This window comes from Homo sapiens, chromosome 6 (genome assembly GCF_000001405.40).
Source record: "Homo sapiens chromosome 6, GRCh38.p14 Primary Assembly".
NCBI classification, from domain to species: Eukaryota; Metazoa; Chordata; class Mammalia; order Primates; family Hominidae; genus Homo; species Homo sapiens.
Window position 1 is genome coordinate 117,377,759 of NC_000006.12, and position 22,570 is coordinate 117,400,328.

The 22,570-nt window shown below is 37.3% G+C and overlaps 1 protein-coding gene across 17 annotated transcripts in view, besides 1 other annotated feature; it reads right to left on the reverse strand.

The window, feature by feature from the left end:
• Positions 1-22,570, reverse strand: part of ROS1 (ROS proto-oncogene 1, receptor tyrosine kinase) — a 138,590-nt gene that overhangs the window by 90,406 nt on the left and 25,614 nt on the right. For 9 of the 17 annotated variants that reach the window (NM_002944.3, XM_011536051.3, XM_011536050.3 and 6 more), the window contains 11 exons: positions 19,157-19,358; positions 18,430-18,506; positions 16,858-16,980; positions 16,404-16,588; positions 15,466-15,563; positions 11,592-12,088; positions 10,022-10,276; positions 9,131-9,241; positions 7,925-8,103; positions 5,559-5,750; positions 1,301-1,401 (listed from right to left, as the gene is read on the reverse strand). In NM_002944.3, coding sequence (NP_002935.2) covers positions 1,301-1,401; positions 5,559-5,750; positions 7,925-8,103; positions 9,131-9,241; positions 10,022-10,276; positions 11,592-12,088; positions 15,466-15,563; positions 16,404-16,588; positions 16,858-16,980; positions 18,430-18,506; positions 19,157-19,358 — 2,020 coding nt within the window. The remainder of the gene's footprint in view (positions 1-1,300; positions 1,402-5,558; positions 5,751-7,924; positions 8,104-9,130; positions 9,242-10,021; positions 10,277-11,591; positions 12,089-15,465; positions 15,564-16,403; positions 16,589-16,857; positions 16,981-18,429; positions 18,507-19,156; positions 19,359-22,570) is intronic. The other 8 variants (XM_017011173.2, XM_017011172.2, NM_001378902.1 and 5 more) reach the window with 2 other exon arrangements.
• Positions 17,697-17,866: an enhancer, noted in NCBI's record as "experimental_88320 CRE fragment used in MPRA reporter constructs". NCBI's record gives its function as "activates a minimal promoter by MPRAs in K562 erythroleukemia cells, with activity observed for both the introgressed and non-introgressed 6:117716703 variant alleles {active_cell/tissue: K562}" and the evidence as "EXISTENCE:reporter gene assay evidence [ECO:0000049][PMID:34662402]".

Genomic DNA, 22,570 nt, shown 5'->3' on the forward strand with positions numbered 1-22,570 from the left:
CAGATAAACTAAACACTGAGACAAAATATTCACAACACATATTTTGACAAAGTGCTTATATACAGAACAACCCAATAATGAAAAGACAACTCATTTAAAAATGAGAAAAATACTTGAACAGGCATATCATAAAAGAAGATATATAAATGGCTGATAACAAATGAAAAAGTGATCAAAATTGATAGTCATCAGGGAAGTGCTGGTTAAAATCACAATATTTACTGCTTCCCACACCAAAGAATGGTGAATATAATAAAGATTGTCAAAGCCAACTGTTGAGAGGATATGGAAGAACCACAATTTTCATACATTTTTTATGGGAATGTAAAATGGCACAAACATTTTGAAAAACTGGCAATTACTTAAGAATATAAACATCTATCTACCCTATCACCCAGCAATTCTACTCCTAGGTATTTATCCAAGTATACATCCACAAAAAGCCTTGTATACAAATATTCAGTTTTATGCATAATAACCAAAATTAGGAAGCAATTAAAATGTCCATCAAGACATGCATAGAATGGATACACAGACAGTGGTATCTTCACACAATGGAATACCACTCAGTAATAAAAAAGAAAAACTAGTACACATAACAAAGTGAATATATCGCAAAAGATTGTATGCCAAGTAAAAGAAGCCAGATACAAAAAGTACATATTTCTGGAGTGGTGCAGATTGATTGGCAAGGGGCACAGGAATTTTTTGTGATGATGGATATGTTCTGTGTCTCAAAATGCATTTGTCTAAACTGATGTAATGGAACACTTAAGATCTGAATATTTCACATTATGTATATTTTAACTAATTTTTTAAAATAAAAGTGTAAAATTTATTTTTAAAATATCTGACAATGCTAATGTGGAAGATGTAGAGATACCGACAAGATCAGGACAGGGGGATAAGCTTGAGGACACAGATCAAGGAGATAATTCATGTGGTCCCTTTCACTCTCTAATTTTCATTTAAGACATCACAGGAAGAGTTCTGCCTTCACTCCATAATGTATACTCTATTTTGTGAAGAAGCAGAAAAGCTTATCCATACACTTCCTGGGCTCTTAAGCAGCATTCTCCTGAGTGTCTATACTGTACTCTCTTCATACCCCATCACAGCACTTACCATATTCTACTGTAACTAGTTATTTACAAACCTCTTTACCCTACAAGCCCAATGCCTGCAACACAGTGGATAACCAGAAAATGTTTATTGAAGGAATAAATGAATTTCCATGCATTATCATTTATGACTGACAAGTTTTCTTCTCAATCAATTGCCTTTGAGGGACTCTACTTACCTCTGTCCCCGAAGAACAGCTGTGTACAGGTGAATACATTGACTGTCTTGAACCAACCAATACAGGAGCCCATCACTGAGGTCTAAAGTTAGAGCAATTACCTAAGTAGAAAGTAAGGTAAGAAAATAAACCAAATACATGTTTGAAGCATAACTTTGTGAACAGGTCACACTTAAGCTATAGATTTCTCTTTAACATCCTCTTTGGAATAATAAATTCAGTAATTTTTACTTTTTTCTGACTATAAAACTTATATGATTATGCTTATTACTGTTATTTGGATATAAACACTGGTGTCCTAAAATTTTACAAAAAGGCAAGGAGTGTATTATTCACTTTTATATACTTAGCTCCAGTAATTATCAAAGTATGATTCTCAGACCTGCAGCAACAGCATCACCTGGAAGCTTGGAACAAATATAAATTATCAGTCACACTCCAGAGTTACTGAATCTGAAATGTTGAGCCTGTGTCAAGCTTGCCTAAAGGTAGTGGTAACTCTGGCCTATTTAGCAACATGAGCCAGTGAATTTTGTTGTTGTTTAAACCTGTTGTTATCAAACATAGCTGCATATTACAATGATCTGTGGAGTTTTTTAAAAATCTCAATTCCCAGGCTGCACTCTATTAATTATGATCTCTGGGGATGGAACCTAGGCTCCAGTATGCTTTAAAACTTCTCAGGTGATTCCAACGTGCCACCAATGGTTTAAACCATTTTGAATTGTATTTTCTATTAATTGCAACCCAAAACATTCTCATACACTTTAAAAAGATCATACACAAAGGATGTTTATGTATTAAAATTGAATAGTAATGTGTATATAAAGCCCTATTTCCAGATGACATATGAGAACCACTTCTTACTACTCTTTGCTTTCTTGTTGCAATGTATATCTTAAGTTTACATCCAGTCATCTAGATGAGGCCTGATGGCACAGAATCCATGAGATATGGCATAGAATCCATGAGACAGATAGAAGTTACTATCCAAAGATCCTGTTTTTGCTTTCTTTGGCTTTACAAATATTTTTCAAATAAGCTAAGATTGCCAGTAGCCTGATTTCGGAGCAGTGCAATCTCCCTGTAACATACCTAGAAGCTGTGAGGTATAACCAATAGAATTAAAGTTGACGACTACATCTTCAGCAAGATACAGCAGCATTTAAACAAATATGATGAGCCAGTGAAAGATGTGAAAAGACTACAATAAGGTATCCAAGAGCTAAAAATTCTTCCTGAAAAGTTATCCTGCTACAAAGAAACAGTTATAAGGTACATGACGACAAAAACCCTTCGGTTGTCATACAAATCACAGCCTTCTATCTTCAGGAAAATTCAACCAACTTATTCTCCAGAAGGTAAAAATGTATTCTGGCAATTCTCAGCCTTTTAGGAGTTGAATCATGTCCTTGCTCCATGCTGAGAGAGATCTATTGATTTTTTTTTTTCAGTTAAAAAGAAATCAGGTTAACCTTGTTTGGTTATTTACAATGAGATACACTAGAGTTTCTACATTACAAATTAAGTCTATTTCATCTATTTTAAAAAGGAGATTCTACAATTTTTTGCTGGAATACAACAAACTATTCAAACTCTAAGTAAAATTCAGGTGTTGAGTCATCATCCCATTCCTCCACAGCAGTCAGCAGCTTCATATTTAAACAGTCAGAGGGTACTCCATACCTTTTATATAAACCTCTCTGATCTAAACTAAAACCCTTATGCTAAATTTTAATTCTGTGGTAAAATGTACCATATGCTGTGAGTTGAGCTCATCAGATGTGGCAAAAGGTATCTTTTTACCTTAGAAGAATCTCTTACTTTGTTCATTCTTTTTTTATCACACAAGTAATTGGGCCTTTCTATAAATAATTGCCTGACTGTATTTCATTATGTCGGCTGATTGCAAAATATATTATTACTGCATAATAAATCTGTACATGACATCAATGAACAAGAGAGAGATGAAGAGCTTTGCTGGATGCAAAATGCATTGCCTTCAAAACATCCACTGTCACTAAGGGAGTCAGATAGATTAGACATCAAACCATGGAACCAGAACACAGATTTGCAAAAGCAACAACAGCACTTGACAACCTGGGAGAGGATTTGCAGAGGACTGTTTTTTTTTTTTTTTGGTTAATTTCCATTCTTTTGCTTTTATTATATATATATTTTTAACTTCAATAGCTTTTTGGGGTACAGGTAGTTTTTGGTCACATGGATGAATTGTACAGCTGTAAAGGCTGAGATTTCAGTGCACCAGTCACCTGAGTAGTGTAAAAATGTACCCAATATGTAGGGTTTTTTTTATCCCCCACCCAACTTCCACCCTCCCTCCTTCTGAGTCTCCAAAGTCTATTATATTACTCTGTATGCTTTTGCATACCCATGGCTTAGCTCCCACTTATAAGTGAGAACATATAGTATTTGGTTTGCCATTCCTGAGTTACTTTACTTAGAATAATGGCCTCCAGCTCCATCCAAATTGCTGCAAAAGACATTATTTCCTCCTTTTTTTTATGGCTGAGTGGTATTCTATGGTGTATTTATACCACATTTTCTTTATCCATCCACTAATCAGTTGATGGGCACTTAGGTTGGTTCCCTATCTTTGCAATTGCAAATTGTGCTGCCATAAACATATGTGTGCAGGTGTCTTTTTGATATAATAACTTCTTTTCCTTTGGGGAGATACCCAGTAGTGGGATTGCTGGATCGAATGATAGAAATACTATTAGTTCTTTAAGAAATCTCTGCACTGTTTTCCATAGAGGTTGTACTAATTTACATCCCCATCTGCAGTGTATAAGCGTTTGGAGGGGGGATTTAAAGAGGGGTAAGAAGGATGAATTTCCCCCAAACATGCTGAGATGACTCACTCATTTATGGGGAAGTCCCCAAGGTCACACCAGAGCTTTATCCTGGCTAGTGAGAGTACTCAAACAACCATATCAGAACACTGGGAAGATTACTGACAAAGTCCCTGAGGTGGAGAAGAAGTTACTCTTGAGATAATATTATCAATATGTTTTTACAAAAATGAAAATGCTTTTCCCTAACAATTATATTTTTTGAAAAACAAAAAAAAATGCTTTCTTTGTATTCAGACTCAAGTGACTCCAAAATAGAATTAAGAGACCTTTTTATTATTTGACAAGAATGATTGTCTTTGGATATGGTACATAAATTTCCATCTCTTTTAAATGTCTGTGTTATAATCCATGTAATGCAAATCAGGTCTCTTTAAATATCCTAGGAATTATGGCCCATATATGTTATTGGAATTGGAGATCAAGTGACTCAACTATTAGTTCATATATATACATACATTTTTAAAATCATCTGGTATTCTGTATTATGTATATTTTATCTCTGCAGAAAAAAATGACTTAAAATAAGAAAATCTTAAGGGATATATTAGGTAGAAATGGTGTGAATAATTTATTTATTCTTAATGCATTTCTGCAATTTTCAAGTTTTTCACAGTTGAAATATGTCACTATTATGGTCAGAAAAAATTAAAATTTAGAAACTTAGATGGATACCTAGTGGGTAGCTAAACAGAATCAACAAAAATAGTTATTGCTTGTAAAAGCTGAGGAAGTAAAAGTAACATTTGCTTTAGAAACATTCCTGTATTTGCAGGTTGAGTAATAATAATATGAGCTTAACTACGGAGCATTTACTTTGTACCTGGAACTATTCCCACTCCTCATGAATACTCTCATATAATCTTTATAAAAAAAAACTTAGGAGGTAGAATAATAGTTAACAGTCCCATTTTTCAGATAAGGAAAGAAACACGGAGAAGTGAAATCATTTGCCTAGTTTTTAGAAACAGTTTTTAAAACAGTCAGTGCCCAAAACTGATTGAAAATAGTAAAATGCCTAGTCACCACCTGATTCAAAGCTTCTAAAATATTCAACAGAAGTCCTTAAGACTATAAAAACAGTTATAAATTAAAATACTTTTAAGTTGGGTTCACTCAAAATAAAGTAAACAAAAAAAATCTCCATAGTGCATTTGAACTTACATAATCACTTATCACCATCAAATAAGGCTTTCAATTGTGACCATCAAATAAGGCGCTTTTTTTTCAAATAACAGAAAACTTGGTTAAACCAAGATCTTACCAAAACACTATTTCCTTTAGGAGTCTGCTTTAAGTACTCACAATAAGCGAGAGAAAGTATTATCATAAATATAGAGCTATTCAGTATTACTAAATGATCAGATCTTTTAATTTGTCACCTTTTTCCCAGAAAACCAAGGCTGTGTCTGTAGTACAAGGGAACTTTCCCCATTTAGTCTGGTGCTTTCCACTGAATAGAGTGTGGTCCAGTAGAGATATCCACCAACTGAATCCACCACCATGTCATTCACCAATAGCTTCACGTGGGTAACAATGTCTGTGTGTCCCGTCAACACAGACTGCCTTTGTATCTAAAAAACATAATTGTATGGCCAGTTAATGGCTTTCAAGTGACATTATTATTTCTGAATATTTATTGCAATCATTAATAAATTGCTTGATTAATCATTCATTCATTCAACCACAAATAGTGATTGGCACTATGTGCTGGGTAGTGTAATAAGCCTTGGAAACACAGCAACAAGCAAACAGGCATGGCACCTGCCCTCATGGGGCTTATCTGTTTTCATGCCTCCAAAGAGAAGGGAACTAAATTTACTTTGCATAAAAATAACTGCTTTTCCTAATTATACATCCAGACAATGTGAACACTGCTGGATAGGAATATATTTGATTAGACTCCCGAAAAAAGATGTTTATGTCCCTATAAATGATGACATCTCTCCTTGCTCTTCTCTATCAGTGTAGTTCCCTAATATTTCATGATTATCAATAATGTGCCAGGCACTGTACTTTTTTATCTTTAAAAATATAAACTCCTGTAATCCTCACATTAAGCTTATGAAGGATTTCTATTCCCTATTTTTTCACAGGTAAAGTGGATTAAAGTTAAACAATTTGTCCTGGAGTTAAACACTTTAATAAGAGATAGAGAAAATACTTAAAACTGGTTTTTATGTCCACTCTTCCATTTCCTTTTTCAAAACTATTTTTAAACTAACCTATTTGAGGGAGTGTTTTCTGACTAACCCCACTCAATTTCATTCTGCTTGCACATCTTTGGCACTTATGAATTCAGATTGTACCATATTGCTTTGTCTCTAAATACATTGCTTCATATGCTTCTTTATTTTATATATGTATTTTATCTCCTCAGAAGAGCAGGGACAACTGATGATGGCTGTACATCAATGGACACACTAAAAAATCTCTGAATTCTACACAATAAAAGAATGAATTTTGTGTTATGTGAATTATATCACAACAAAGTTGTTTTTAAAATAGCAGGGACATGTCGGCTATTTGTTTTATATTCCCTACTTTGCCTTCTTTCAAGGATTTCAACGCATTGGTAGTAGATAAATGATTGCTGGACAAATAAATAAATGGACAGCAAGTACTTTCCTGATTAAAAATTATTTCAATACCTTATTTCTTGATCTGTCAGGCCAATGTTCTTGTCATTAGCCATCATCTTTCTCTTCAAAATATATCACTCCACAGGTGTGCTGGATGTCTTTATTTTGCCTCTAGGTCTAATTCCCACCCTTCTCCACCCTACTCTGTGCCCCCATAGGCCAACATCTATGGACTTTATCTGCTAGGCTGAAGGGTTGTTGTCTGGCTTCTGGGGAGGTTCAGCCAATGGAAGCACTGGCAGATTAGAGGGCAGGAGGAAGGAGGGGTTGGGGTTCTTATTCCTTTAGCTGGCTCCTTGCCAGACCATACATCTTGATAGTGGCCAGCTTCTGTGCCTAAAGTCACAGTCCATATCAGCTACTCTCCTACAGCTACAGCCCTCACCAGGTTCTTCCACTTCTTCCCCTTGCCTATTCACACCTAGACTTATGTCTTCGCACACTTGTAAACCGTGAGGATGCCTCACCATCATTTGTTCATTTTCCCTAGCCCTGTGCACACCTTTGAAAATAGTCTCTTCACTTAGTTGCCTTGAATCATGCTTTTGGAGCATGCCATGTTCCTGCCAAGAACCAACGCTCAGGTGAGCATTTTCATGTATTTATTTAAATTATTATTGGGGAAAAAATACCTAATTCAACAAATAGTGATAACAAATTTAATTTACAAAAAAACATATTTTAAAAGTGAGATGAGGCCGGGAGCGGTGGCTCACGCCTGTAATCCCAGCACTTTGGGAGGCCGAGGCAGGCAGATCTCTTGAGGTCAGGAGTTCGAGACCAGCCTGGCCAACGTGGTGAAACCCCATCTCCACTGAAAATGCAAGAAGTAGCCAGGCATGGTGGCATATGCCTGTAATTCCAGCTACTCGGGAGGCAGAGGCCAAGATGGCGCCACTGCACTCCAGCCTGGGCAGCAGGGTGAAATTGTGTCTCAAAAAAAGAAAAAAAAAATGTTTAAGTGACTTGGTTTAAAGATAAACATTAAATAAATAATAGCATAAGTGGTGCACAGGTATTTAAAAAAAAAAAAGAAATTGGTGTGCAAGTCACTGAAGTGGATAAGTATCATTCTAGAGCATCCAGAATGCCATGCTTTAACTCACCACATATGTCTTTCCAGCCCAGTAGAGAAAGTGACCCAGCCACTCAAAAGCTAAAGCCCCTGCTCCTGCAATGCTGGGTAGGTGATAATTCTCTGAGATATCCGTCCCATTCAGCAGCCACACAAAAACGTCGCCTTTCGTGTCACTGTAGTAGAGGCTGTTGTTATACCAATCCATGTCTCAAAATAAAGTGAATGATTAGCAGTTATTTTTCATACATACCAACAAAAACATAATGAGTCAACAAATCACATCTGCACCTCAACATAATTTTAAACAACACACTGACACATATTCACTAGAACTTGATCTGTCAAGAATATTTAAATAATGTTTCCCAAACTCTTAACCCCTGAAACCAGGGAGAACAGTGGATACACATCGAGCATCTCCTCTTTGCCAAACATTGTCCCAGGCAGTTTACAGATCTCATTTAGTTCCTAAAACAAAATTATGAAGTAGGAATTATTCTCATTTTTGAGATGGTAAACCTGAGACAAGGTGAGATCATGTGTTCTGCCTGAGGGCTCACAGATACATCAAGAGGAAGCCCAGACTCAGCCAATGCCAAAGTGGCATTCTCTCCATTGGTGCCACATTACCTACATTTGGCTCCTATGTTGGTCAGAAATGCTGTTGTACTTTTAATGGCCAAATAAATCAATAAACAATTAGATAACTATGGAAGATGTCATCTTCAGGCAAGATCACTGTTATAACACCCTAGAATGAAGACTTTTCTTCCTTCTAACGCCTTCCAGGCAAATTACCCATTCATTACTTAATAATCCTCTTTGTCAACCAATTATTCCTTATACCTTATTTAGAACTCTATGCAGCAGTTTCTGCTCCTGTCTTATAGCAAATGCACAGTAAATTATTTAAGTATAACTGTCTTAGTGGAACAAGATAGGCTGTTAATGTGAGATGGCATTGGTAGATTAATACATCAGCATTATATCAAAGCCTTCCTGGTGGGCATAAAACTAGAAACAACCTCACATTTTGTGACTTAATAAATAGCGTTCCTATCTAAGAACTGACATTTTCTTAACAGAATCACTGGCAGTAGAGTTCAGTCAATATTTTTTCCTTTCACTATTGACCAAATACAAAAATACCCTATTCTTTTGATTCATTGAATGATGTGGGAAGTCTTATGAGTAGAAATCTGTCATTCAAGTGAACAGAGGACTTGGGGTTTACCTGACACATTTCCTATATCAGAGGATAAGAACTCTCCTGGGCCAAAGCTATTTAATGGTTTACTCCAAAGCCCATCTTCTTTCACAGCCATGATAAATGGTGGTTCACTAGCTGTTTAGTAAAAAAGAAATTAAAAGAAACATCAGGGAAAGCAAACTCTTTAAAGGTATCTTATATACTTATATCTATGCCTTATATCTTATGATTTTCTATATAAAGTAAAAGAATGTCAACACTTTGAAAAGTTCTATAAAAGGATATGAGTAATTGTTATCTGTGTAACAAGAATGATCCCATTAAACATACTTTCTGATTTTCACATAAATTTTTGAAATGTGAAGAAAAACGCATGGTGAGATTGCCTCTATAACGGTGTCTTGATCATTGCAGAATTTTTTTTGAGGGGGCTTTGACTACTGTTTGTCATGGTCTCATTCAGAGCATCCAGAAGAGACTGTGTTAACAATAGTAATATGAATGGTATAGTCATCCTTCCATTTCTTTTCAGCCAAGAGGATGGAATTCAGCATAATTCACAGCCTCTCAACTTCTCTCAGCAAGACCCTCAGAGTTCAGAAATGCCACTGCTTAATATACCATAAGAAAGAAGAAACCCGTAAAGAATCAATTATAGTGTTTCCTTAAAAAATATCTTGGAAAGTTTAAAATGGCAGGTTAGAAACACTAATTAAATATCACACAGTGCTTTATTTGCTTTCCTAATCTCAGAAAATAAATATGTACTCAATATGTGTTTACTCAAACACATACTCAAGAGGTCAATACACCCTCATTCTCATTTCTTTAAACCCAAGGCAAGGAAATTTAAAGGGCACTCAGCTAGTCCTCTTTTTGTGAGAGTCACTCCCTAAATCCAGAACATTTTCTCACCTGGCACCAGGGTAGTACCCACTGAGGGCTCTGACCAGGGGCCTGGCCTCTTTGGAGAACTTGCTCTCACAGAAACCTTGTATTTCATAGCACTCTGCAGCTCAGGTACATTCAGCATGGTTCCACTTATGTTCAAGAAAATATGAGTGACTTCAGGAGGGTCTTGGGTGGATACTTTCACCTCATAGGTCCAGTTCTGCCAGGCAGAAGGGCCTAATTCAAAGAGTTCAATAATATCACTGATCAGGATGACATCTGCAAGGGCAAACCAAGGATTCTCCATAAATTCACCTACAGCCTCATCTCAAATGGGAGAGCAATTGGGCAGTAATATCCGCTACCCCGATAATCACCAGGGATCATTTGTTGATGAGGCTAGGACAGTGTTCATTCCTCATGCCGCTCATTTGGCTGCATTGAAGGAGACAGCATTCCCAACAAATAGGACTGTCCTTCAGTCAAAGCTATATGCTTGCTGCATATAATTGTCAGAGGGGTTCTCTACAACACTAATAGATATAATCAGGCTCTTAATAAAAAATGCTTAATGATGAACCTTTAATGTAATTACCACTGTTTGTATAGTACCTTCCTCCAAGAAGCCCAATCAATAAAAAAAAATTACCTATTCATTTTCAGCCATCTTTGAGATATGCAGCAAACAGACATAATTAACTTTGTTCTAAAGCAAAAACAGCCAATGTTTTCTAAATACTTACTATCGTCTAGGGGATCAGGGATTGGCAAACTCCACTCACAGGCCAAACCTGGCCCACTGTTTCTGTAAATAAAGTTGTAATGGAACACAGCCACAGTTATTCATTTACATATTATCTATGACTGTCTTCACACTACAACGACATAATTGAGTAGCTGACAGGGACCATCTGACCCACAAAGTAAATAAAAATATTTACTATCTGGTCTTTCCTTTACAGAAAAAGTTTGCTGACCTCTGTGCTAGATACTGTTCTAAGTGCTCTACTAATGTGTTTTAATTTTATCTGTACAACAGTTCCATTAAAAGATATAATAAATATTCCCCATTTCCAGGTGTGGAAACTGAGACACAGAGTGGTTTAGTAACTTGCCCAGGGTCATTCTATTAACAAATGGCAAGTATTTGAATCCGTGCAGGCTGACTCCAGAGCCCACCTGCTTACCCACCCACATACTACCTCTCTCCAGAGATGGAGATTCGAGTTCAGAGTTTTAGGGAATTGCTGAAATTCATGCAAGCTTTCAACAGCACAAAAAATCTCAACCCAAGTATTCTATCTCCCTGGCTATTTGTTCTGACTAGAATGTCAATGCCTGGATCTTAGCAGACACTCAATAAATGTTCAAATTATTCTATTGGGATATACATGAGAAGTATAGAGATTCTCCTAATGTAAAACTAATAAATGCAGAACAAATGTATAAACTTTTTTTTTAGCTAAGTAGCTGCTTCTGGTTGATGACTGAATAGCCAAATGGGGCTCTCAAAATTGAATCACAACGCCAAGCAGTTCAAACCTTCCTCTTATTCCAGCAAGGCCAGTAACCACACTGGGGACAGAGCACTCACTGGCTCCTATGGCAAGGGCAGGAGGCTTCCATTGAACAAGAGCCTGGTGAGAGCCAAACAGCACCGAAAGCTCCTGCGGGCGGCCTGGCAGAGGGTGCAGCTGGGAGGATGAGCCAAAGATGACCAAGTTACCAAACCCAAATTCTTCTATGTGACTCAGGTCACATCCCACGATGAATTCATTAAAAGACAAAGCATCCTGTTGGAAAATGACCTTGCCATCTGTGACAAGAAAGTCATTGTTTTCACAAGCAAAACTTTTCACATCAGCAAAGGGGATGCGAGGTAGGATGAGATGGGAAGCAGAGCCATCCAGAAATGTTGACATGAAGACTTGGGCAGTGTCATTGAAGTAAATGATTCGCTTGGCTTGTGGCTTGATTGCAAAGTCCTTTAACGTGCAACTCTCCACAATACGCACAGCTTCTGCACACCGGCCAGATGGTACAGGAAGGTCTGCTCTATAAATGCCATCTCTCAGGAGGTAAAAGACATACCTGACACAGGAACAAAAGAAACCTCATGAGATTCAGTCCAAAGGTTGATGAGTAACCTCCTCAGCTAATTGCTTCATTCTGTTGCACAATCAGAACTATGTATCTCTGATGTTGCTAAGTACAGGATTTTCCAAGGTAGAAAAAGGTAATTTCCTAAGATATACTCTATTCGTTTAAGTTACAAGTTGGAACATTAGAAAATTTCAGCCTCACTTGTAATGCTTAGTCTCTTAATTATTATAAGTGACTTTTTAAGGAATCAAAAAATTCAAAAACAGGAAGGGTCTTTTATTTTTTTGAGACAAGGTCTTACTCTGTCACCCAGGCTGGAGTTCAGTGACACAATCACAGCTCACTGCAGCCTCAACCTCCTGGGTTCAGGTGATCCTCCCACACCTCAGTATCCCATGTAGCTGGGACCACAGGCTTGCCACCGTGCTCGGCTAATTTTTGTATTTTTTGTGGAGACAGGGTATCACCGTGTTGCCCAAGCTAGTCCTGAACTCCTGGGCTCAAGTGATCTGCACACCTTGGCTTCCCAAAGTGCTGGGATTACAGGCATTAGCCACCAGCCCTGGCCAGGAAGGGTCTTTCAAAATTTTAAAGGAAAACATACTATATAGAAATCACATGGCTAAATATGGTATTTACTATCAAACATTTTCCTCCAAAAAACACACATCCTTAAGTCTAATTTTATCAGTAAATTTTCTCATGCATTCTGAGTGATAAATGGAAGAAAGTAAAACATTTAAACCATTTTTAATTGTACAGTTATCATTTTGCTATAACTAGCATGGCTACTTTGCATTTGCAGTGGACTAATTTTTTTTAATCTACAATTGATGCAGGCAATAGAGCTACCATTTTATAAACCACAAAGAAATACCCCACACATGACTGAAGCAGGAAAATCCAGCAATCAGGAGAAAGAAGCCAACGGAAGAATTAGAGAAGCACATCTAATTTAAAGTCAAACCTCACAGTAACGAGGCAGGTTATTTTAATAATGAAAAAGAAAACATACTGCCAAAATATTTCATTGACAATGAAATATGTAAATAAACTTTTAACTAAAATATAAAACCATTAATGTGGATGTAGCTAATTTACAATTCGTGATTATGGAGAAAGGTGCTAACAGAAGTATACTTTGATAAATTCTTATCCCAACCCCAAGGACTGGCAGCATTCCAACCTCTCATCAAAACTGTCAAATCATTTTCCTTGTCCTTATTTAGTTCTGCTCTAATTCCCCTTGATGACTATTCCAAATCTTGATCAATTTTCTCAAAACTCCTATGCTAGAATAATATCCTGAGATATAAGCTCCATTTTGAGATATGTAGCTATGTTCTTTTCCCTGAGGACGGATTGTAGCAGGCAAAAAGCAAAAACAGCTTGGCTCTTAATTTTCTGCTTTTGTTTCCTAAATTCAAAATTGTTAATGGAATTTGGAGGAATTTCAGAGTAGATAAAAGGAAAACTATCTGTGGTAAATATTACAATTATTATATTGAAGCAGGGAGGAAGAGAAAGAAAAATAGAAAAGGTGAAGAGATCTGGTGCATGGGAAGAGGAGGACAGAGTGAGGAGGAGAAGCTGGGGTGGAAGAAGATGGGGAAGTGGTGGTAGGAAGAAAAGCAGAGGTTTTACAGTAAGTCTGAACTCAATGAGGAGACAATTTGCAGTGCAAAAAGAACAGCATAGAGGAAAATATTTCTAATACCAGGACAATACACTGTTTCACACATCTGATGTCCTTTAGGACTACTAAACACAAACTATTGCTGAAAGTTACATGCTGATTTTTATAGAAACTCTCCTATCATGGTATAGAGAGATGGTTAGAAGACAGGCCCTGGAGCTAGAAGTCCTGGAGCAAGATTTCTTGTTCCAGGGCCTGTCTGGTTCCACTGGTTCCATCGCAAAACAGCTGTATAATCTTAGACAATTACGGAATCAACCCGTGTTTCCCTTTCCTTATCTATAAAACTAGAATAATAAAAGTACTTATTTCATAGGGTTGAATACAAATTAAATGAATTATTGGACATAATACACTTAGAAACACACATTCAGTATAAATACTAATTATCATTATCATTTCTAGTCACATTGCAAAATCTAAGCACAAATCCATTTTATCCTAATGGAAAAAAAGAGCCACTGAAGACCTCAGTGATCGCATTTGAATGATCGATTAGTGGGTAAAGTTCATTATCCTCAGAATGAGTCATTTTGTGTAAGTGTCAACAACAAAGTTACATTTCATAGGACCGTAGACCTTTACACATGAAAACAGTAAGATCCAGAGAATCCTTGTCCTACATCACAAAGCATTAAATATTCCATAATTCAGTAATTCATTCAAACCTAGAAGTTAAAATAAATCTTTAGTAAATTGTGAATGAATAGGAATAGAAAGCTTGATTTTAAAATCTATAATGAACAATCTTTTTTAAAAGAAAGTTTTGTTTGTGAAAAACATGTTATGAGCTGTATTTTTTTTTTCATTCAAAATGAAAGCAACTTTATTCCTACAGGAAAGAAAAAAGTTTAATCTTACAAACATGGGCTTTGCCTACTGGTTACTAATCTGTTATTATCTGGTCATATCTGAGAAATAATAACTCCAAAATAACTTTCTATGTGTTTATCCTTCATATTCATATATATCTGGAGTTCACAAAATACATGCACAATAAATACCTCATTTTGTCTTCAAAATAACCCAACTGGGTAAGTATTATTACCTTCCCTATATGGATTGATAAATCAATGGTCATAGACATGATATTACTTGCTTCAGGTACTACTCCAATTTAACAGCAAGACTGCGGTACAATGTGTCCATTTCATTTGGGGGTAGGAGGCAGAGTTATCAATCAGCTCCTGTCTCCTAAGGTGGAAGCTAGCAGCTTTCTTATTAAAGAACCTCTTGATAGATGTGAGAACCAAACCAGAGGAATGAACTACAGTTGAATGGCTCAGCAAAAGGAACAGGTGGAATGAAGGGGCTTTATCACAGGTAGTGTTGAGGCGGAAAGTGAGACTCAATCCCATGATAAAGAAGTGGCAAATCCAGGACTAGAACCCAACCCCTGACTCCCAGACAGGAGGTCTTTCCCATATTCCCATATTTGGCTGTGAAGGAGAGAGAAATAACTACTTTATAAGAGTTGATTTATGTTTGAAAAAACATTCCCTCCTGGCTCTACAGAATGAAAACTTTGCCTGAATTTAATTAAATTCACCTAAAGTAAGATGCATAGATAGGCTCATCTGGTACTACAATGTTTCATTAGCAAGCAAGTTTCTCAAAGATTATTTATTCCCAATGGAAGAGAATTCATCTTTACAAGGCTAACACATACCCATTGTATGAATCAGCCACAATTTTTTGAGGTGCACTAATAGAGGGTGGAGTAATTTCCTCGATGTTTGAGCAGTTCTCTAAATCACAGACACATACCTAAAAAAATAAAAAATATACCGGTAGGATTAGCATCTGTCTATACAGCATTAAATTCAGCCAACAAGTATCCCTGAGTATCTGTTCTGTTGGAATTGTACTAGGCACTGAGCACTGCCCAAGACAAATGAGCAAAAAAAAGCCCTTAAACGACAGTTTTATATCCTATATCCTAATGAATTTATACATTATTGACATCAATGCAATACAAGTGCCTATTTTCCTGGCTTGTAGAGGCATTCAACTATTTTTAACATTTAAGCGATATCTAGGTTTATGCACTTTCAACCACAGCAATGGCTGTTGCTTACTGTGATAAGCCTGTACCTTCCAAAGAAGTAGAATTTGAAACATGTCAAGACTGTGTCTTCATCAGCTCAAAATAGTCCTTATGCACCACCACCACCAACAACAACAACAAAAAATGGTCTTCCGAAAAGTACAGTACTACTGTGTTTTTGGAGAACTACTAAATTTCCCTCTGGTTATGATATAATTTTAAATGCTTGCAGCTAACTTTGATCATGACTGGCAGTCTTACCTAACAATAAGACAGGTACCACCACTATCTTATAGAAGATGAATTATTTTTAGTATAAACTCATGACTCTAAAAAAGTACAAATAAAGGTGATTTAATGCTATGTCAGGACTAGCACTAGGTAAAGGCTACACCCTCCTATAGGCCAGATCTATGATTCATTGATAACCTAGTATCTAAGGCATAGTAAATACTTGAGTATGTATTGAATAAGGCAATTGTGTTTAGTATTAAATATACCAAGATATGCATATCAGTATCACTGTCTATCACTATTCCTCTTTAACTTCTCGGACTAACCAGTTCATCCATGATGAAATACATTCTTTGATAAAGCCAATCTATGGAGATAGAAGAAATTAATCCTGAACCTCTGTAAAAAATTCTCAGGTCAGATACATCAGACATGTTGGCAGCCTTCTTCGCCCATATGAGAGTTCCTTCAGAGAAATAAACAATTTGCTGGTGGACATCAACAGATATTCCTAGAAGAGCCATGCAAGTGCACACACATTATTATATAACAACCAGGACAAAAAACTTGTATGAATGAGAATTTATTTATTTAATGATTAATAAATTAAAATAGAAGTATTTTATTTTAAAAGAAAATATTCTTCTAAATTATTCTAATATATTAGGATATTAAGAGAATATGTTCCAGAAATATTCAAAAATTTTCTTTTATTCTAGAAGTACTTCTTTTAGAATCTTCTTTTCACACTAAGGAATCATTTATCCTTATCATACTGACCTGTAATATTATGGTATATAGCATCCAACCGAAGGCAATGTGCTTCATCTACTAAATGTTTTAAAGATCTCTTTCTTAGAGAAGTTTTTCTGGATAAAAAGAGCCACTGTTCCTCTTGTTGAACTGAAAAAAACAACACAATTTGCAGACAGGTAGACCAACCACAGGTACACTAACAGACACAAAAAAGATCAGTACTACCCTTCAAAGCAAGGGGACTAGTGCTTGAAAGAGGCTGGTCAAATTTTCTCTAATGGCACTGGAGAATTGCATCTATGGTATAACTCACATTATTCTATGATTGGAGGTAGGAAGTACAGTAACAATCAAATAGGATTTATGTTCATATGCCCCTAAATAACCCAGAAATGACATCACATGATGTATCACTATTCTCAACAACCTTGCCCCAGCTCAGCTTATTATTTTCAGCCATGAGAATTGGCTCGGTGGAGGTGGTCCACCCCAGGCCAGAGTGGGTTATGCATGACACACACATATTGTCAGACACTGGTTGTCTCTGTGTTGTCTTCAGTATCTTTGCCTTTAGGGCAGAAGAAAGGTCCTTAAAGGAATGACATTGGAAGGCTGCAGAACTCTGCTTGATATCCTGTTCAAGTGGAGACTGACACAAGGTGCATGGGTGAACATTTTTAGGGTATTTAATGAATGTTATGCAATAATCACAGTAACAACAACCTTAACCCTGCTCTATATTTAACTCACCCTTTGGACGTGCTTCTTACATAACAAAAATACCTCTCCTTTCCTAGAGTCTAGGAACAGCCAAAAAAACAAAGGCTGATGATGGATGACACTCAATACCCATTGGCACAGGCATGTACAGATTAGAGTAAGGGGCAGTCAAGTCAGCAAATAGGGTTCTAGTAAAAATAGAAAACAGGCTCCCAGAATTGTGAATCTTTGGATGTTCTCAAAAATCTTTTATTAGTTTCCCCTCAAATTTCCAGTACTTCTTAGAAAGCATTTTCATTTGTTATTTTGCTCACACATATATCATACAGTAAGTATTCAGTCACTTGAGGTAATCAATAAAACACCAAAGCCAAAAAGAAAGGGTGCTTACAAAATAATAAAAGATACTTTGGCAGACTGAATACTTATATAGTAAAATGTAAATTATTAAAGTCCAGATATATTTAAAAACAAAGATACTGGAAAACAATGTCTGATATATATTAAATAATTATATATAATCTAAAATAGGGATTAGGGCAGAAAAGTTATATGTATCCCTTAAGTGTGTAAATGTGAGTCAGAAACACTAGTGATTTCAACTGAAACCAAAGATTTGAGGCCATTTTTTTAAAACCCTAAATTTTTTATTCTGATTTTCAATTCCCAAATTCTAATATCTAACCACTTACTTTAATTCATCAAATACTTAGGTTCATTTAAAATGGAAAACTTAACAAGTACCCAAAAGACAATAATCATTTGGGCAGAAGAGGTGGGTCTTGAGGTCTACCAGGTGACCCAGGGCTTCTGGCTCTGAAACCACCCTTGCCACCCTCATTCCTGTGTAGCTAAAGGAAGAAGCCTGACCCATACCTGCTGAAGATGAAGTGGTAATACTAGATTCTGCTTCTGGACCCTCACCAACTTCATTTACTGCTGCAATAGAAAACCTATTCCAAAAACAATTTGGAGAGACGTGTTTCACATGGCATGGTGTGAACATGAGATAAAAATAGAAGGAGCAATAACATTTCTATTTAAAGGGTGATGTGGCAATGCATGAGTCTAGTTACGTGGTGCCACTGCTCAGCACCGAAATGACCATCAATCACATCCTTGTTTGCATTCCCCTAGAACAGTTCAGGGTCATAGAGGTCAAAAGCTGAACTCTGCTATCTGCATGACCCCCATTCTTCTCCGAATTTAAAGAGGCTCTAGTAAATGATAGAAAAGCTAACAATAATAAAATAATTACCCTAATGGTTAATAAAAATGCCTAAACAGAACTCTACCTCCTTACTTTTTTCATATTGGATTAAATGAAAATTTGACATTCATGGTGTTTACGATGTCTTTATTAGCCATATTTATAAGTATCCTCTGAATATAATAGAAATACTTGAGAATGTTTTTGCTTAGGATGCTATAATCTAATAGGCATATAAGCCTGAGGAAAACCACAATGACTTCAACCCAACACCATGGAGTCAGTGGCGCTTCTCAAAGCACATTTAAACTATTTGATACCCATATTTCTTAAATAATTATCATGCCTGCAGCCATGCTGGTTACATTTTCCTCTGTATCACTTAATTCTTACCTGTAGATAGTATTTGGTAAAGTGGAGTAAAACTGGAAACTGGTTCTCTGTGTCCCTGCATCTAATTTTTGATTTTTGCTGATCAGCCTTAAGTTATAACCCAAAATAGGTCCACCTGGGAATTGAGGTGGATCCCAGCTGACTTCCACAGTGTCGGGACTTGAGCTCTCAATATTCCTAATCAAAGGTGCAGTTTCAGGAACTGGAAGAGATAATGGTGACATAATGAGCAGAAAAATGTGCAAGCATGATGTTTTTAAAATAAGATGGAAAAAAGTCTTGTTTTTTTTTTTGAAAACTTAATGGAAACGAAATAATTTTATTAATACTCAAAATATGTGATAGAGGAAAGGTGGTAAGATGTCTAAACCAGTTCGCTCCTTTCCCAAGAGGCCCTTTCAAATGTTACTTTCCTCACTTCTAATTAATGAAATAAAATTAAATATAGTGTATACGAATACAATAATGGCCCTTTTAAAAAAAGTCATCAGGAATCTCTAGAGACTTAAATGAGTTGAAACATGGGATGGAACCAGTTTAGGAAGAAGAGGAGAGTCTGACTAAAACTGGAGTCAATGATCGACGAGTTTAAAAAAAAGTCCATCCTGGGGCCTTTTCACTCATTTGAGTGGGGCAGCCTTGCTGGTTCCAGCTGGAGATGTGGGTTCAGACAAGCTGGAATTCGAACAGTTGGCTTCACTTTTGTTGGCATCAGCTCTAATGACCCAGACTACATTTTCCTTACCCCAGCTCTCAGGTCCTGGAAATCCAGGCTGACTGAGCTTCAGCACCCCTGCCCTGGCAAAGGATTAAAGGAGCATGTATGAAACAACTGAGCGTTCACACACAGTCCCCAGCAGCTACTTAAGTGGAAAAAGAAAGGACAACAAATGATCTGACAGCCTAGCTTCCATCTGTGTCTCCACCTGCTTTTCAAACCAAACCCCTAAAACCAGACTCTTTCTCTCCTCTTTCCATAGAAAGACACAATTAGAAGTTACTTTGCTCTTGAGTAGATTTCTCTCCCTCTGAACACTTTTGGCAAATGCTCTGCATCACCACTGACTTTTAAAAGCCCTTTTAATTGCTCTCTCAGCCTTTCTCTGATGCAATTCATCTCTAACTCTCAGACTAATTTTCAGCAAACACAAGCATCATTGCATCACTCCTCGGCTCCATGTAGTCAGTCACCATGATAAACAGGGAAGAAATAAATTTCTCCCACTGAATTATAATATAATTAGAATGTCAAAATTTTAAGTCATTAGGGTCAATGCCCAAATGTGATCTTCCACCATTGAAGCAAGTTAAATGTCACCTACATGGCAAGATGCGATCATTGTCCAGGTCTTCCCCACCGAAAAAAAAACAACAACACAAAAATCATCCCTGAAATGCTGGTATCCCTTGTCTGACAATCATTCCTTTGTTAAGAAATTATTTTCTGAAAAGACCCAGTTAAAAGGCAATAGCACCATTTAGGCCGGGTGCAGTGGTTTACACCTGTAATCCTAGCACTTTGGAAGGCCAAACGTGGACCAATCGCTTGAGGCCAGGAGTTCGAGATCAGCCTGGCCTACATGGCAAAAACCCATCTCTACTAAAATTACAAAAATTAGCCAGGCATGGTGGCGCATGCCTGTAATCCCAGCTACCTGGGAGGCTGAGGCACAAGAATCACTTGAACCCAGGAGGCAGAAGTTGCAGTGAGCCGAAATTGTGCCACTGCACTGCAACCTGGGTGACAGAGTGAGACCTTGTCTCAAAAAAAAAAAAAAAAAAACTCGCGGTGACTCATGCTTGTAATCCCAGCACTTTAGGAGGCCGAGGCGGGCGGATCACGAGGTCAGGAGATTGAGACCATCCTGGCTAACATGGTGAAACCCCATCTCTACTAAAACTACAAAAAGTAACCAGGCATGGTGGCATGCACCTGTAGTCCCAGCTACTCAGGAGGCTGAGGCAGGAGAATCGATTGAACCCAGGAGGTGGAGGTTGCAGTGAGCTGAGATCGTGCTACTGTACTCCAGCCTGGGCAACAGCGAGACTCTGTCTTAAAAAAAAAAAAAAAGGCAATAGCACCATCTAAAATCATGTCATTCCCACAGCTAAAAGAGAATAGGGTTATGAGGCAATTAACACAATACAGATAAGTTTCTAAGTTTTGATGTAGCTAGAAAAGTGAGAATCAGAAACATGAGATGCTATCCATAAGAAGGACACCCATGTAGGGTCTAGAAGACACAGAGGGTATGTGAGCTTGCTTATCCAGGAGAAAGGCCCAGAAATGAACAGCAAAATTTGTTTTCATTATTTTGATTTGCCCAGCCAATGTCCCTGCACGGTATTTCTGTAGCACCGGAAAATGTCCCAGCACTGTTGGATAACATATGGCATTGCTTGGAACAAGGAAGAATTCATTCTCCTCTGATCTGGAAAATTTCGAACATGGTCCTAGGCCAGTGTTTGGTCTGAGGCGCTAAGCAAGAATAGTCAGAATAATCAGCAGAGGTGGCCACACAAACCCTGAGATCTGACAAGCAAGGAGAGAGCAACCATCAGGGAAGGGGGAAAATGCCCCAACCCACTTCATCAGCTGCTCGGCTCTGCTTAGGTCCAAGGCCTAGTTCAGCCTGAGGCTCTCTGCACATAGGCACATCTCCAGAGCTGAGGGTTAGGGCATCCAGCCTGGAGCATGTCTTCCTGGGTTGCCTCAGCTAACTCTGAGGGTGAGGGCACCAGACAACTCTCCCTCGGTGTCTGCCCCAGCATTCGCCTTCCTCTAAGGCTTCTAGGCTTGAATGCTTTTCCTGGTGTGGAAGTCACATCTTCAAAATAATAAGTCAGAGAATACCCCAATATATGTTCTGTTTTTAAAAAGCTGTTTTGATAAAATCTTAAAATAATATAGTAACCTCCCAGCTGGTCTCTACCTCTGTACTTTCAAATCTCACTCATTCTCTCAATCTATTCTATGTGCAGTTGCCAAAATTCTCTTTTTGAGAAGCAAGTGAAGCAATTACTATTGTGCTTTAAAACCTTCCATAGCTCCTAACTGCATTCTAAATAAAGTACAAACTCCTTACCCAGGACATTTAAGATTCTTGGTAATCTGGACCTAGTCTGCCTTCCCAGTGTTATTCTCACTATTTTTCTTCCTGTATTCTATGCTTCCAGCAGATGGCATACTGACTAATTTCCCTCCATGCCTTAGAATCCAATCTTGGTGACCCTGGTCACATAGACACCTGGACCTGCCCTTTTCTCTCCTCACCTCATGTCTAACTCAACAAATGAGACTTCCTCCAAAGAGATTTATTTGATATTTCATTTCAGAAATAAATACTTCCCTCCTCTAAACTTCCATGGGAATTTGTCAGTACGTTTTCTATGTGTTTAATAAAGCTTTACCTT